This window comes from Homo sapiens, chromosome 8 (genome assembly GCF_000001405.40).
Source record: "Homo sapiens chromosome 8, GRCh38.p14 Primary Assembly".
In the NCBI taxonomy this organism is placed as follows: Eukaryota; Metazoa; Chordata; class Mammalia; order Primates; family Hominidae; genus Homo; species Homo sapiens.
In genome coordinates, this window is record NC_000008.11 from 21,296,260 (window position 1) to 21,314,415 (window position 18,156).

The 18,156-nt window shown below is 42.9% G+C and overlaps 1 long non-coding RNA gene across 1 annotated transcript; it reads left to right on the plus strand.

Moving 5' to 3' along the window:
* Window positions 1–1,979: 1,979 nt before the first annotated feature.
* On the plus strand, window positions 1,980–13,190 carry LINC03093 (long intergenic non-protein coding RNA 3093). Its single transcript, NR_104677.1, has 3 exons — window positions 1,980–2,148; window positions 11,511–11,634; window positions 11,851–13,190. It is a non-coding gene; the product is annotated as a long intergenic non-protein coding RNA 3093 (long non-coding RNA).
* Window positions 13,191–18,156: the final 4,966 nt, after the last annotated feature.

Consider the following 18,156-nt stretch of genomic DNA (forward strand, 5'->3'; position numbering starts at 1 on the left):
ACTTTGTCTATACTTATTTACCATAAAAACAACATTGTGCACTCTAAAAGTCAAGACAGGATAAACACCAAAACTCTCACCTGTAATATCACCTTAAACCTAACGTACTCTTCCCAGCCTAACAAAATCATTAGCAATTCTTGGATTCCCTCCAAGTCTTCACTCATGCACTGACTTCACGTAGCTGTAATTGTTAGCAAAACTGATTTCACGAAGAGCATCTATTCCTACAAACTCAGGTTTCAAGCATTTTAAGATGAACTCAGTATAACAAGATGAACCCAAGTGACACCAATTTTGAGATTTTTTTTTTTTGAAACCTGGAAATTCAAACTGCAGTGGGCTGACTTGGAGCTGCTTCACCTGGACAGGGTGTTGTGCCCCTATTTAGGCTAGAAAACCCTACCTTTGGGTAATTTGATGATTGGTTGTATTGGAGCTCAGAGCTTGCAGGTGGGAGTAAGCTTCTCTTGAAACAAGGGAAAGGTCAATCCTGGGACTGGGAGGGGTTGAAAGGCCAGTCTTGGTCAGCTGTGAGCAAAAGAACTTCCTCCTCTCTCTAGGCTGAGGGGTAGAAATTGGGCCAGTATCTCCACACCCCGACAACTTCCAAATGCCGCTCTGGCCACAGGGAGGCAGGAAGTATCCCTGGTGTGGGACAGTCCTGGGAGGGTCCCAGGATGGCTCTGGGCCTATTTTGTGCTTACAAATTATTCTCCATACTCTTCTTCCTTCCATTATCCGTAGACTTCCCCCTCAAACCCCGAAACGGAGTCTCACTCTGTTGCCCAGGCTGGAGTGCAGTGCCGTGGTCTCGACTCACTGCAACCTCCGCCTCCCAGGTTCAAGCGATTCTTGTGCAATAGCCTCTGAGTAGCTGGAATTACAGGAGTGCACAACCACTCCCGGCTATTGTTTGTATTTTTAATAGAGGCAGGGTTTCACCACGTTGGCCAGGCTTGTCTCAATCTCCCAACCTCAGGTGATCTGCCCAACTCCTCGGCCTCGCAAAGTGCTGAGACTGTAGGCGTGAGCCACCGCGCTGGGCCTATCCTCAGGCTTTTACTAAAGACACTTAAAGGTTACAGCCTGGTCTTTCTTATTTGAGTTAGTTTCCAATGACTGCTGAACAGATTCACAAACTTGTCTTAACACAACAGAAATTTGTTATCTCGCAGTGCTGGAGGCCAAAAGCTAAAATCAAGATGTCGGCAGGACTGTGCTTATTACAACGGCTTGGGGAGAATCCTTCTTTCTGTCTCCCGCTTTAGGCCCCTGTGTTCTTGGCTTGTGGCAGCATCACTCTACGCTGTCTGTCTCCACGTGGCCTTGCCTCCGTGCCTGTTTTCCCTCTTCTTCTCCTATGTGAACACCGTCACTGGAATTAGAGTGCACCCTGGTAATCTAGGATGATCTCATCTTGAGATGCTTAATTTCATTACTTTGCAAGGATCCTATTTCCAAAGGTCACACTCACAGATTCCAGTCGGACATGATTTTTTTTGAGGCAGGTCCATTCAACGTGCTATCATTGTGGTGTGGGAAATTCAAGACAGAAACTGCACCACCTTGGAGACAAACTGGACTAGTGGAGAGCAGTGTTCCTTCCCCTACAGCCAGAGCTGGGGGAACAACTCGGCACAGTGGAGGTCTCACAAGGCACCAGGAGTAAAGCAATAGGCAAGGCTATGACAGCACACCCGAATCCCAGGACCCGGGGATAAGTCGTATCTTAGGAATATCTGCCCATGAAGGCAGTGGGCCGCAGGATCCCACTTTGAGGTGCCAGTGCTGATTGTCATTCCTTCCAAGATGGTAAACCATTAGGACATCTGGATCCCTCCCTAAGATCAACCCTGGAGGAGCTGCAGAGGAGAAACAGGGCACAAGAGGACCAGAGAGGGCTGTGGGGAGCGGGGAAGAAGAAAACGAACCGTTAAAGTTCTGTTGCTCCCTCTCCCCCAGCATCCTCCTGGGACATACAGCGATGGCCCCCACACCTGGAAGGACTCAAGCTCTGAATCCAGCACCTTCAGGAAGCAAGTGATGGCATCCCAGAGGCCCTATGCTTGAGACAGACTGACGAAAACAGGTGGATCTAGGTAAAATCAGTCTCTGCTACCCTCCTCATCTAAACCCTCAGTGCAGGTGAGTCAGGATGCAAATGTAAGGAGGGTTCCCTCCTGATACTGCTTCTCCCCAGCGTAAGGACAGAAGAAGGTGACAGGGTGACTTGAGGAGTTATTTAGGGGCCGGGGTGGAGGTGTCACTCCAGCTCTCTGGTGCTGGACAGTCCTCCCCAGGCATATCTTCTCCATTACATCCACACTAAGCTCACAGGGACTCACAGTTACAGGGTCTATTTCCCTGAATACTCATTTCCTTACAAAATACCCAGTATCTCTGTTGGTGAGGGAAAGGCATGTATGTCAAAATAAAAAGACATTGTAAGGCCCAATCATTTCAAAACAAAAACATGTTAGGTTATTGTGTGCACTGGAAGTAAAATAATTAGAAGCAAAATAATTAGAAAGCCAATCATTTTAAATTAGCCAAAAAAACTTAAAAGGAGGTTGCAAAGAATAATTTTCAAACAGTTAAAGATATGACTCTCATACAAATCATAGTGAAATGTATTTTAACTCAGATTTAACTCCAAAAGAATGCTAAAGTTGGTTCAAATGAGAATTTGAAAGATGGGGTATATATGTATAGTCAATGGAAGACAGATTACTAGAATATGATTGCTAAATCAGACACCAAATCAGTTAATGTCTTACAGAGCAAAAGAAAACAAAAATAAAACCTTTAAGGTATTCTTTTCTACTAGACAGAAATTAGTTTTTATGTATCAATTATTGACAGATTAACCTGTAGCTTCACACAATATGAGCCCTAAGCAGTTATAAGGAATAAGTCAAAAGCAATTATCCTAAGAGTTAGATAATCTTTGAACGGAACTAAACAATGCTCCAGTATGACACTAAAAGGACTTGCGCTTTTCCTTTGCCTTAGTTCCAAGTTTCAGACAATTTTTCTTAAGAGAGATAAAAGAGGCCAGGCCCAGTGGCTCACGCCTGTAATCCCAGCACTTCAGGCAACTGAGGTGGGCAGATCACTTGAGGCCAGGAGTTTGAGACCACCCTGGCTAACATGGTGAAATCCTGTCTCTACTAAAAGTACAAAAAATGAGCCTGGTGTGTTGGTGTGTGCCTGCAATCCCAGCTACTCGAGAGGCTTAGGCAGGAGAATCATGTGAACCTGGGAGGTGGATGTTGCAGTGAGCCGAGATTGCACCACTGCACTCCAGCCCAGGCCACAGTGCAAGACTCGGTCCCACAAAAGAAAAAAAGAGAGAGAGATAAAAGAAGATAGGAGATAGCAGACTGAATGAATGAAGAATGAAAAGGCAAACTAATAGAAAATATAAAAGAAGTTAAGAGAAATGGAGAATAGAAGTTAAAGTGCTGAAATTTCAATTAAAAAGAAGTACCAGAAAGAGAGAGAAACAAATAGAAAAGAGAAAATATTTGAATATTTGAATAGTGAGCTATATTTTCTAAAATTGTCTTTTAAATAAAGATCTCAGATAAAAAAAAATCCATAAAGGAAGAGATAAGGAAAAGCCCACATTCAGACATACTATTAAAAAGTTTAAGGATATATCCCTAATTATATATGTGGAAATTATAAAAATTTACAAAGGAAAAGAGCATATAGCATTCAAAAAACAAAAATCTAAAAACAAGAAACAGATTTTATAAAAAGCAACACTGAATCCAAGATGATAATAGAGTAATAATTTCGAAGTATTCAGAAAAATAACCATAACATTTAGAATATTATATTTGGCCAGAGTCCTTTGAATATGATGGCATGACAAATAATATTCTAGGCAGGCAAAGGCTCAGATAAATGACTGTAGAAAGACCCACACTGAAAACAGTTCTGAACAAACTTCCTAAATAAAGGAGAGAAAATTCCAGATGTTGCAAAAGAGGAGTGAAGTAAGGTGATGAAATCTTTTGTAAGCAGAAAATACAGGACAGATTGAAATATCAAAATTTTATAAATAGGCCCAAATATGTAAATAATTAAAATGTATTTTAGACAATTATTAAACAAAAATTGGCAGGTTGAATTTTTTCAATACTGGCATCTGTTGTCTAAAACAGAAATTCTAAAGAAAAAAATGGTTGAAAAAGAATGGAAAAATGTATCAGGAAAAATCTAAAGAAAGATTATATAGATATTTTAATATGATTTAAACAAGATTACTAGAAAAAAGTTATTAGTGATGAGAGCTATTTCATAGTGATTAAAAGTTTTGATACACCAAAACCATTTAGCAATTCTTAAAACTTTATTGCTTTAATATTCTCAAAGTATACAAAGAAAAAGTGATAAAACTGCTAAAAAGTTTTTGATTAAATCACCATTATGGTAGGAAATTTCAACATACCTCTCTACTTGATAGGTGAAATAACGGAAGATTATCCAGAATAAAGATAATATGTACAACACAAAGAACTTGACTTAATGGACATATGTAGTGTCTTCAACAACTTTATAATGTACATTTTCAAGCTTATATAAAATATTTATAAAATTATGAGTAATAGAGTAATAATTTCAAAGTATTCAGAAAAATAACCATAAAATTTTGAGTATTATATTTAGCCAAAGAGTCTTTTGAATATGAGGGCATGACACTCCCTAATTATATATGTGGAAATTATAAAAATTTACAAACGAAATTTGTAAATTTCCTAGGCACACATGAAAACCCTCAACAAATTTCAAACTGTATCATACAGACCTGGGTTTCTGATCGTAGCTTATTTATGTTAAATATAAACAAAAAAAATAAATTTCCCGAAATTTGAAAATTCAGAAATGCATTGTGCTTAGTTAATAAGTTAAAGAAGAAATTGTAGTAAAAATTATGTCTTATGTAAGTTTTTATATTTTTATCTTTTAATTGTAAATTGACAAATTATAGTTGTGTGTATCTATGGGGTACAAAATGATGTTATTATTTATGAATACCATGTGCAATAATTAAATCAATCTAATTAACATGTACCTATCACCTGAAGTAGAGTCATGTACCACATAGTGATGTTTAGGTCAATAAAGGACCAAACATATGACGGTGGTCCCATAAGTTTATAATACTATATTTTTTCTGTACCTTTTGTATGTTAAGATATGCTTAGATACGTAAATACTTACAACTGTGTTACAATTGCCTGCAGTAATTGGTACAGTAGCATGATGCACAGGTGTGTCGCCTGAGAACTATGGGCTGTTATCATATAGCCTGGGTATGTAGTGGACTATGCCACCTAGATTTGTGTAAGTGCACTCTATGATGTTCACACGATATAATTGCCTAACCATGCATTTCTCAGAATATATCCCCATCTTTGTGAATTTCTTACAATAACATTTTGTAGTCATTCACCTCCTTGGTTAAATTTATTTTTCTAAGTATTTTTTAAAGCTATTGTAAATGGAACTGTTCTCTTGATTTCTTTTTCAGACAGTTCATTGTTACTGTATAGAAATGCTACTTGTTTTATTGTTGATTTTGAATCCTGCAATTTTACTGTCTTTGTTTATTAGTTCTATCCGTTTTTTTGTGGGTTTTTTTGGTACAATCTTTAGGGTTTTCTATATATAAGACCATATCAACAAACGGTGACACTTTCACATCTTTCTTTCCTATTTAGATGCATTTTACTTTTATCTCTTGACTAACTGCTCTGGCAAGGACTTCCAATACTTTGCTGAGTAGAAGTGGCAAGAAGGAGTGGGAATGTTTGTCTTGTTCCAGATCTTAGAAGAAAAGGTTTCAATTTTTCACCATTGAGTACAATGTTTGGTGTGAACCTGCCCCACATGGTTTTTATTGTGTTAAGGTGCATTCCTTCTATACCTTATTTATTGAGAGTTTTTGTCATAAAAGGGTATTAGATGTTTTCAAATGCTTTTCTGCATCTAATGAGATGATCATATGGTATTTGTCCTTCATTCTGTTAATGTGATGTATCACATTTACTGAATTGCCTATGTTGAACTATGCTTACATCCCAGGGATAAATCTCCTTTGATCATGGTGAATGATCATTTCAATGTCTTGTTGAATTTGGTTTGCTAGTATTTTGTTGAGGATTTTTGCATCTGTTTCATAATAAAATGTTTAATGATTCAGAATTGAATGACAATGAAAATAATTGATAATGTATTAACAATTGATAACATATGATAATGATAATCAAAACCTTAGGGTACAGCCAAAATAGTAATTCAAGATGTAAACACCTGTGTTGGAAAATAATGAAACCTCAAATTAATGAGCTAATTGTTTGTTATTTCAATGAACAAAACAATAAGCCAAAAATAATAAATAAAATGGAAGAGATAATAAAAATACTAATGGAAGTTAACAAAATAGGAAACAAACGTATAATACAGGATGTCAGCAAAGCCAAAGTTGATTTGTCAAAAACAAAAAACTTGAGAAGCCTCTGAAAACTAACAAGAAAATGAAAGAAACCACAAGTGAAAAATATTGCGACTAAAAAAGGGGAGAATCTGCAAAAAAGTACTTGAGATAAAGAGATTAAATGACATGCCCATGTTCATAGCAGCACTACCCAAAACAGCTAAAACACAGAAGCAACCCAATGTCCATCAACAGATGAATGCATAAACAAATTGTGGTATATACACATAATCAATTATTCAGCCTCAGAAAGGAAAGAAATTCTGACATATGCTACAACATTGAGGAACCTCAAGGACATTATGCTAAATGAAATAAGGCAGTCACGAAAAAACCAATATTATATGATTCCACTTATATGAGATACTTAGAGTAGTCAAAATCACAGAGACAGAAAGTATAATGGTGGTTGCCAGTGGCTGAGGGAGAGGGGAATAGGGACTTATTGTTTAATGAGTACAGAGTTTCTGTTTTACAAGATGAAAAGAACTATGGGAGATGGATGCTGGTAATGTTTGCACAGCATTATAAATGTATTTAATACTGCTAAGCTGTACACTTAAAATGATTAAGATGGTAAATTTTATGTTATGTGTATTTTGCCACAATAAAAAAAATTAGGAAAAAATGTAAGTGATAATAAAATAATACTACCAACAACTGCTTGCCAGTAATTTTGAAAACTTAGATGAAGTGAATAAACTCTTACAAAAAAAGTAATGAACTAGAACAACTCAAAAAGACATTAAAACATTAAACAGCCTTAGAACTATTAAAGAAATTAAAACTGTGTCTTAAAATCTTCCCACAAATAAAATATTTGACTATTAATATTTTTCTAAATTTTTAAGAAATAAACAATTTTGAGTTTTTCAAATACTTGCAAAAAATAGGAAAGGGGGCATGTTCCCCAGCTTATTTATGAGTTCAGAATAGCCCAAATACTAAAACCACAGAAAGCAAAAATGTCATGCCATTCCATTTTTAATATGAATGCAAATAGTTTTTAAAATATTTAAAAAGTCCAAGTAACCTAAAAACATATTTAAAAGAAAATACACTTTGACCAAACTGATGTTATCCCATGTATGCAATAATGATTTAATACTTTGAAAATTAAGAAATATAATTCACCACATTAAGATATTAATAGGAATACATATAAAATTTTTTAGTTAATACAGGAAAATAATTCCATAAAACTCAACATCCACTCATAATAAATTATCATTAAATTCGTAGTAAACAAAAACTTTCTTATGAAGAATATCTGTTTTAAAATCTAGGTAAAATATGATCCTATATCTGTAGATTGTAGAATAATTACAATTCCCACTTATACTCCAGCTTGCAGGGGAAATCTTAGACAGCAAAATAAATCAAGAAAGAAATTAGACTCATAAGGATTTGTAGAGGATGTAGTTTTTTAAGTGGACAACCTGCAAGAATATATGGATAAATGACAAGAATGGGAGTATTTAGCAAAGTGTCTGGATATATAATAACATCAATTGATAATGCATCAAGAAACAACTGGAAAATATAAACACAGAACACCATTTATAATGGTATCAGAGAATAGCTAAGAATGTATTTAACAAAAGACATGCAAGATTCTACAAGGATAATTTTTAAATTGTATTAGATATTTTACTAGAAGCAAAGAAATGGAGAAACTGATAGATTTGAACAGAAAATAAGCAAAATAGGCCGGGCCCAGTGGCTCACGCCTATATTCCCAGCACTTTGGGAGGCCGAGGTGGGTGGATCACCTGAGGTCAGGAGTTTGAGACCAACCTGGCCAACATGGTGAAACCTCATCTCTACTAAAAATACAAAAATTAACCTGGCATGGTGGTGAGTGCCTGTAATCCCAGCTACTTGAGAGGCTGAGGTAGGAGAATCAACCTGAACCCAGGAGGCAGAGATTGCAGTGAGCTGAGATCGCACTACTGCACTCCAGCCTGGGTGACAGAGCGAGACTCCATCTTAAAATATATATATTCTTCAAAATATTATTTAAGGAAAGTGAAAAAAATTTACAAATTGGGAGAAGATATTTCTATTATTCAGCTCCAACAAACACTTTACATATAGAAAATAAGATTCTTTCAAATCAATAGAAAAAGTACAAATGATCAGTTAGAGAAACAGACAAATGTACAAATGGACATTTCACAGAAGAAATGCATGGCTACAAATCATAAGATGTATTTAATAATAGAAATGAATACTAAGACCACTATGAGGTACCATTTTATAGTTAATTAACTGGCAAAATACATACAAGTTTAGAAAAATCAAGTATAAAAAAAGATGTGAATTCATAGGATCACATTGCAACTGAGACTGATGCAATAAATTGCATAAATGGTTGTCCATCAATGGTTTTTCAAAGTGCAAGTACTTTAAACAACAGTTTGGTGATATTTCCTAAATTTGGTCATTTATACAACCTATAACCCAGCAATTCCACTCCTAACTAAATACTCAAAAGAAATTTATGAGCATATACAATAGGAAATAGATACAAAAACATTCATATTGTCACTGTTCATCTTAGCAAAAAAAGTTGAAACTACCCAAATGCTCATCAATGGGAGAATGAATGAACCAAGTATAAAAGGGTGAAATGATCGCATATTATAAACAGAGGAAGTGAATAAGCTATAATTTGTGAAAATAGAGATAAATCTTAGCAATTTAATGTTAAATGGGAAAGTTACCCCCCAAAGATTACATAAATCTCCATATCATTTTTATGGTCTAAAATAACTAAAATCAAAATAGACTTTTTAGGACGACAAAGAGGTGAAATAAAACCATTTTTTAAATAAAGCAAAAACATGATGCATACAAAATTCAGCATAAGACTTGCCTCAGATGGAAGAAACTAGAAAAAGTGAAGGGGCGGAGGTACCCTTATGGTTAGATTAGGTTTATTATCAATGGCTGAGCTTTTATTTGCATTGATGGTTTTGCGAGTGCTCATTATATTATTAAAAATAATGAAATAAATCCCCATGATGAAACTGAGTGATGTACTAAGGATAGGACTGATCCAATTCTGTGGACCTAAGGTCCACAGAGAGTTTAAAAATAGGAAAAACATTAAAATGCAATTCGGTGGAGATATTATCAGATGCGAAGTCACTTAGGAGTAAGGAAAAAGTTGCAAAAGAAAAAGAACAATGGAATGAAATAAATAAGCAGGAAGTAAAGAAATAAATAATAGATGGGAAGGGACTTTCACCACCATCTTCTGAGTCACACGTCCAGATGTTTGCTGATCCACAATACCACTGAGCCATTCTCGCCTTTGGTGATAAAGGCAGTTACTGTGAAAACACGCTGTTCTATTATAAAGAGATATTGCTAAGTTGAACTCTTCTTTCTGGGGCAGCTTCTACTAGAAGGCAGTTGCTAAATGTTTCTAGAGGGAACCAGCTGTGGGAAAACTATTAATTAGCCTCAGTCATTATATGCAGATTAAATTGGTTAACTCAATATAGAAAGCAGATAGGAGGAGTTGGGGTGATGTTCTTTTGATATGGTAAGAAAAGCATACAAGGTTTTATTATTCCCAGTGGAGCAGAAAGAGGATTTTCACTCAGAAAAAGCTGAACGTAGCTCCAAACTAAACAAATAAGACAGGATAGGCTGGGCACAGTGGCTCACACCTGTAATCCCAGAACTTTGAAAGGCCGAGATGGGTGGATTACCTGAGGTCAGAAGTTCGAGACCAGCCTGAACAACATGGAGAAACCCTATATCTACTAAAAAATACAAAATTAGCCAGGTGTGGTGGCACATGCCTGTAAACCCACCTACTCAAGAGGCTGAGGCAGGAGAATCTCTTGAACACGGGAGGTGGAAGTTTCAGTGAGCCGAGATCATGCCATTGCACTCCAGCCTGGGTGACTGAGCGAGACTCCGTCTCAAAAAAAAAAAAAAAAGAAAAGAAAAGAAAAAAATAGAAATAAAACAGGATATTCTCCGATTTGGGGAAGGAACACACTATCCCTGAAGGAGGAGGTAATCTGTCAGCTGAGATATGCTTTGAGTCTTTAGAATCCCCAAACTCACAAAGCTGAGGTCCAGAAATGGGTAGAACATAAACAACTAAAATAAAGTTTTGTGTGAGTTCCAAAACATAAGTTGATACTTAGAATAATTACAGTAAAGATTACTCAGAAATTACACATAAATGTATCACGTAATTTTTTCATTAAAAAAATCTAAACTATCTTAAATCTTCCCATCACTAAAACTAAAAAGAGTGATCTTGAACTCCTAGGTGTCCAAGGGTCTGGCAGTGCCCACTGCAAGCACGTTTTTTATTTGAAGTGCCATTTTTAACCTTAAAATTTCAGACCAATTTTGGATTCCTCTATATATATATTCAGGTTTTTTTTTCAATAGTAAAACATTTAAAATATCTTACTAATAAGCAAAAACTAATAGTTTGGGTATACCACGCTAAGTCTATGGTCTTACATCCACTTGTTTATTAACACATATTCTATCTTGAGAAGAATCACTATAATTAACTTTTTCTGATTTAACTTTTGCCTGAATGTGATCTTTTTATTTAGTAAAAATATGTTATTTCAGATGTGTACTTGGAAATTTAGAAACATAATTCTAGAAGGTTGAAAAGAAATGGAAAAAGTGCCCAAATTCAGAAATGGGCCCTTGTTTGCTTTTGGTACCCACTCATTTTCACACCTGTAAAATGTGGATATGAATACCTCCCTTTGATAGAGACTTGGCTAGCTGTTCACCAAACCCCTTCCACTCTTATTGGGAGTAGACTACATTTCCCAGCTTCCCCTGCAGTTGGGCGTCGCCACGTTCCTGAGTTTTGACCAAAGCAATAGGAAGAAGAAGAAAGGATAACTTAAGCAGGATGGGAAATAAAACAAAAATTTTAAGAAACGCCAAAGTTATTCCTCTTTCTCTCTCTTCCCTTTTTGACAACCTTTTTTTCCACACCTAGGGCCACCTTGGAAGCCATGTGTTAACACTGAGTGATCCTCCTCAGCCAAGTCCCTAATGCATGGAAAAGAACCTCCTGACCCAGTCCCCAAAGGCTGGACTTTTCCTTTGCAAGAAATAAGGAGGTATTGTATTAAGCCACAGTGTTGTTCTATTACAGAAGATTAAGCAGTGCTTAAATTAACATATACCTCCCCCAAAAAAAACATGGTCAGGAGTCAGGTAACTCTTATAAAGTAATTAGCACCTAGTGTCACGGAATGTGGATTTCTGTCAATGTGAGGCCATGGGACCCTGGAACAATGCTGCCACTTCCTATGAATCTATTTCTTAAATTGCAGGGTAAAGTTCACCATAAATAACAAAGTCATGGAGTCAAGCTGTCACAATTGGCCACCGTTCCTAAGGCATTTGAATTGTATGCATTGACAGGAAAAAGCAGGAAGGAGTGAAGACAGAACAAGGGGAGAATGTAACCTGAGTTGGAAGGTGTAATATTTAAATGTATTTGCAAACCTGTTTTGGGCCAAAAGGGGTAGGAGGAAGAGAAGACGCATTTGCTGAGATCTATTATATGCCAATTGGAGGACTACAGATTTCACAATTCACATCTGTTGTCTTATTTCTTTCTCATAATCCCAAAGATAATTCTAAAGTTACACATTATCATCTCCATTTACAATTAAGAACTGATGCTCCAAGAAGAAAGATCTCACAGTGTGTAGGCAACAGACCTAAGATTCAAACCTATATTGGTGGGTGTTAATGTCCTTGTTCTTTCTGATGTAAGCATGTAACATTTCCACATCTCTGATTCCATGCTCAAGGTGGGCCAAGCCATGCTGCTTGTAAGACAGGGTGCCTGTGATGACACAAGTCATTAATGCAAGTGTTAAGTGCCATGCAAGCACAGAAGCCACTTAAAATGGGTTTTCGGAAATGAAAGCTGGGCTCAAACAGAGCCCACTTTCAAGGGGGCCTGGTTTAAGTGGCCAAACTCTCAAGAAGAAAGGCATTAAAGGAAGAGCCTTTCTGCTGGGCTGGCAAAACTTTAGGTTCATGAATTCAGGAGGAGACTGAGGAGGAGAAAACAGGGTTTTAGAATGCAGCCTCAGGAGCTGCCTGCACCTCTCAGGCCAGGAGGTTGGCTTTTCCAATTGTGCGATTAAGCTATTCTACCCAGCCCCACCTCTCATTTTCAATTAATCTGCACTAATGAATTCAACAACCAAAATGCATTTGCTAATTGAGGTGCTTGCTGGCCAGGTCATCCGCGCTCCCTTGTCTAACAGCTGGTACTCCCCACTGTGCCACGGTAAAGTAGGGTAGTAGAGGCCTCTGCTCCCCTCATCCCCTGCTGCCCCTGAGGGGAATACCCAGTGGGCAAGAAAAGGCCCAGCCTGGGAGAGAATGCTCATAATATATTACTAAGTCACAGACAGAAATTGCTCCTCCGGGCAGTCTTTCACTTTTTGTTTCTAAGTGAAAGCTCATGACCATCCCAGCCATATTATCTCCCTGGCCCTTGGAAGCTGTTATGTAATGGAAAGGGCATTAAACTCAGGCCAGGAAATTCTTGATACAGAACCCAGACTGTTGTTGATAACTGGGTTGACTTTGGAAAGTGACTGCCTCCCTCCCTCTCGGTTTGCTCATCTGGAAAATGAAACTAATGGAACTGACCTTGGAGTCATGGTGAAGTGCCCGTGAATGTAATCAGAACATCTCAGTTTCTTCTTCTATACTGAGGGGCATGGCCAGTTGGGCATGGGGAGATGGTACACTAAGGGAAGCTTGAGTTTGCCAGTGGGTGGTAAATGTACAGAGTACAAAGAATGGGGGTGAGGGTGGGTCAGGGGGAGCTGGGAGTAAGGCATCTACTGGCAGGAGATGGGTTGGAAGTGATGGCAGTGGAGGAGGTGGGTGGCTGAGGAGTTGAGATGCTCATTGAAGGAATAAACAGACAAGACAGGGGAATGAGACTCCAGGCAGGAGTGGAGAATGAGAAGGAAAGAAGAACAGAACAAAGCAGAAAGACAGAGGTAAGCTGGGGGTTCAGCCTCCCCTTCTGTTCCTGCATCTCACCCTCTGCAATGGCAGCCTTACAAAGGATGATGACTTTTGCAGGCGCCACCTGTGAAGATGGGATAGCGGACTCTCCAAAAGCCATGTGCAGCCTTAAGATTTCTTTTGTCTTTTTTTTTTTTTTTTTTTTTGGCAAAAAGGGCCTGACAAAACCAGCCCCCGGCCAAGATTCCTTTGTCTGTGCAGATGCAGAGAAAGGGAATCAGCCAGACCTGGGGGAGTCACTGTCACCTTCACCTGGGAACCAGCTCTGGAGGCGGAAGCCCAGACCATCCCCTGAGCATAGCACTGCCCTTGGGGCTGAGGATTTTAAAACAAAAAGAAAAAAAAAGGCCTCAGTGCCTTTCCCCAGGGGAGTGAAGGGGCTTAGAACACCTGGGAAGTTACCTCAGACACCGGGGTTTCCCTAAGTCAGAACTATGAGCCACCAAAGGGAAGGTTCTGGAAATTTGCAATTCTAAGGATGAGGCTGTAGGACAACACCAGAAAGTAGTCCGGGCTGAGAGTCAGTGAGAAAAGATACACCGTAATCCAGTCTGGGACTGGTAGTCAGTGGGAAAGGACCACACGGGGATCCAGTCGGGCTAAGAGTCAATCAGAAGGAACAACACTGGGATCCAGTCCAGGGCTGAGAGGCAGTGGGACAGGACCACACTGGGATCCAGTCCGGGGCTGAGAGTCAGTGGGAAAGGACCACACTGGGATCCAGTCCAGGGCTGGGAGTCAGTGAGAAAGCATACGCCAGGATCCACTCCAGCTGGGAGTCAGTGGGAAAGGACCACGCTGGGATCCAGTCCAGCTGGGAGTCATGGGAAAGGATACACTGGGATCCAGTCCAGCTGGGAGTCAGTGAGAAAGGCCCACACTGGGATCCAGTCCAGGGCTGGGAGTCAGTGGGAAAGAACCACGCTGGGATCCAGTCCAAGGCTGGGAGTCAGTGGGAAACGACCACACCGGGATCCAGTATGGGGCTGGGAGTCAGTGAGAAAGGACCTCACCGGGATCCAGTCTGGGGCTGGGAGTCAGTGAGAAAGGACACACCAGGATCCAGTCCGGCTGGAAGTCAGTGGGAAAGGACCACACCGGGATCTAGTGCGGGGCTGGGAGTGAGAAAGGACCACACCGGGATCCAGTCCGGGGCTGGGAGTCAGTGGAAAAGGACGACACTGGGATCCAGTCCGAGGCTGGGAGTCAGTGGGAAAGGACACGCTGGCATCCAGTCCGGGGCTGAGAGTCAGTGGGAAAGGACGACACTGGGATGCAGTCCGGGGCTGGGAGTCAGTGGGAAAGGATGACACTGGGATCCAGTCCAGGGCTGGGAGTCAGTGAGAAAGGACCATGCTGGGATCCAGTCCGGGGCTGGGAGTCAGTGGGAAAAGACCACACTGGGATCCAGTCCGGGGCTGGGAGTCAGTGGGAAAGGACCACATTGGGATCCAGTCCGGGGCTGGGAGTCAGTGAGAAAGGACCACACTGGGATCCAGTCCGGGGCTGGGAGTCAGTGGGAAAGGACGTGCCGGCATCCAGTCCGGGGCTGAGAGTCAGTGGGAAAGGATGACACTGGGACCCAGTCCGGGGTGGGAGTCAGTGGGAAAGGACCACGCTGGGATCCAGTCCGGGGCTGAGAGTCAGTGGGAAAGGACGACACTGGGATGCAGTCCGGGGCTGGGAGTCAGTGGGAAAGGACACACTGAAATCCAGTCCGGGGCTGGGAGTCAGTGAGAAAGGACCATGCTGGGATCCAGTCCGGGGCTGGGAGTCAGTGGGAAAAGACCACACTGGGATCCAGTCCGGGGCTGAGAGTCAGTGGGAAAGGACCACACTGGGATCCAGTACGGGGCTTGGAGTCAGTGAGAAAGGACCACACTGGGATCCAGTCCGGGGCTGGGAGTCAGTGGGAAAGGAGCATGCTGGGATCCAGTCCGGGGCTGAGAGTCAGTGGGAAAGGACACACTGAGATCCAGTCCGGGGCTGGGAGTCAGTGAGAAAGGACCACGCTGGGATCCAGTCTGGGGCTGAGAGTCAGTGGGAAAGGACACATCAGGATCCAGTCCGGCTGGGAGTCAGTGGGAAAGGACACGCCGGCATCCAGTCCGGGGCTGAGAGTCAGTGGGAAAGGACACACTGGGATCCAGTCCGGGGCTGGGAGTCAGTGGGAAAGGACGACACTGGGATCCAGTCCAGGGCTGAGAGTCAGTGGGAAAGGACACGCCGGCATCCAGTCCGGGGCTGGGAGTCAGTGGGAAAGGACCACGCTGGGATCCAGTCCGGGGCTGAGAGTCAGTGGGAAGGGACACACTGAGATCCAGTCCGGGGCTGAGAGTCAGTGGGAAAGGACCACGCTGAGATCCAGTCCCGGGCTGGGAGTCAGTGGGAAAGGCCTACACTGGGATGCAGTCCGGGGCTGGGAGTCAGTGGGAAAGGACCACACTGGGATGCAGTCCAGGGCTGGGAGTCAGTGGCAAAGGACACACTGGGATCCAGTGAGAAGGGACACACCAGGATCCAGTCTGGCTGGGAGTCAATGGGAAAGGACCACACTGGGATCCAGTCCGGAGCTGGGAGTCAGTGAGAAAGAACAACACTGGGATCCAGTCTGGGGATGGGAGTCAGTGGCAAAGGACACACTGGGATCCACTCCAGGGCTGGGAGTCAGTGAGAAAGGACCACACTGGGATGCAGTCCGGGACTGGGAGTCAGTGGGAAAGGACACACTGGGATGCAGTCCGGGGCTGGGAGTCAGTGGGAAAGGACCACACTGGGATCCAGTCCGGGGCTGGGAGTCAGTGAGAAAGGACCACACTGGGATGCAGTCCGGGGCTGGGAGTCAGTGGGAAAGGACCACTCTGGGATCCAGTCCGGGGCTGGGAGTCAGTGAGAAAGGACCACACTGGGATCCAGTCCGGGGCTGGGAGTCAGTGGGAAAGGACACACTGGGATCCAGTCCGGGGCTGGGAGTCAGTGGGAAAGGACCACACTGGGATCCAGTCCGGGGCTGGGAGTCAGTGGGAAAGGACACACTGGGATGCAGTCCGGGGCTGGGAGTCAGTGGGAAAGGACCACACTGGGATGCAGTCCGGGGCTGGGAGTCAGTGGGAAAGGACCACACTGGGATCCAGTCCGGGGCTGGGAGTCAGTGGGAAAGGACACACTGGGATGCAGTCCGGGGCTGGGAGTCAGTGGGAAAGGACCACAATGGGATGCAGTCCAGGGCTGGGAGTCAGTGGGAAAGGACCACACTGGGATGCAGTCCGGGGCTGGGAGTCAGTGGGAAAGGACCACTCTGGGATCCAGTCCGGGGCTGGGAGTCAGTAAGAAAGGACCACACTGGGATCCAGTCCGGAGCTGGGAGTCAGTGAGAAACAACAACACTGGGAACCAGTCCGGGGATGGGAGTCAGTGGCAAAGGACACACTGGGATCCACTCCAGGGCTGGGAGTCAGTGAGAAAGGACCACACTGGGATCCAGTCCGGGGCTGGGAGTCAGTGGGAAAGGACCCCCCTGGGATCCAGTCCGGGGCTGAGAGTCAGTGGGAAAGGACGACACTGGGATCCAGTCCGGGGCTGGGAGTCAGTGGGAAAGGACACACCAGGATCCAGTCCGGCTGGGAGTCAGTGGGAAAGGACACGCCGGCATCCAGTCCGGGGCTGGGAGTCAGTGGGAAAGGACACACTGAGATCCAGTCCGGGGCTAGGAGTCAGTGAGAAAGGAACACGCTGGGACCCATTCCAGCTGGGAGTCAGTGGGAAAGGACACGCTGGCATCCAGTCCGGGGCTGAGAGTCAGTGGGAAAGGATGACACTGTGATCCAGTCCGGGGCTGGGAGTCAGTAGGAAAGGACCACGCTGGGATCCACTCTGGGGCTGGGAGTCAGCGATAAAGGACCACATTGGGATCCAGTCCGGGGCTGGGAGTCAGTGGGAAAGGACTATACTGGGATGCAGTCCGGGTCTGGGAGTCAGTGAGAAAGGACCACACTGGGATCCATTCCAGGACTGGGAGTCAGTGGGAAAGGACCACACTGGGATCCAGTCCAGGGCTGGGAGTCAGTGGCAAAGGATACATTGGGATCCAGTGAGAAGGGACACACCAAGATCCAGTCTGGCTGGGAGTCAATGGGAAAGGACCACACTGGGATCCAGTCCAGGGCTGGGAGGCAGTGGGAAAGGACCACACTGGGATCCAGTCCGGGGATGGGAGTCAGTGGCAAAGGACACACTGGGATCCACTCTAGGGCTGAGAGTCAGTGGGAAAGGACCATGCTGGGATCCAGTCCGGGGCTGAGAGTCAGTGGGAAAGGACACACTGAGATCCAGTCCAGGGCTGGGAGGCAGTGGGAAAGGACCACGCTGGGATCCAGTCAGGCTGGGAGTCAGTGAGAAAGGACCACACTGGGATCCAGTCCAGCTGGGAGTCATGGGAAAGGACACACTGGGAACCAGTCCAGCTGGGAGTCAGTGGGAAAGGACCACACCTGGATCCAGTCCAGGGCGCTGGCAGTCGCTGGAATGCCAAGTGTAGGATCCTTCCTGGGAGACAGCCAGTGGGTCAGGCCAGGGAA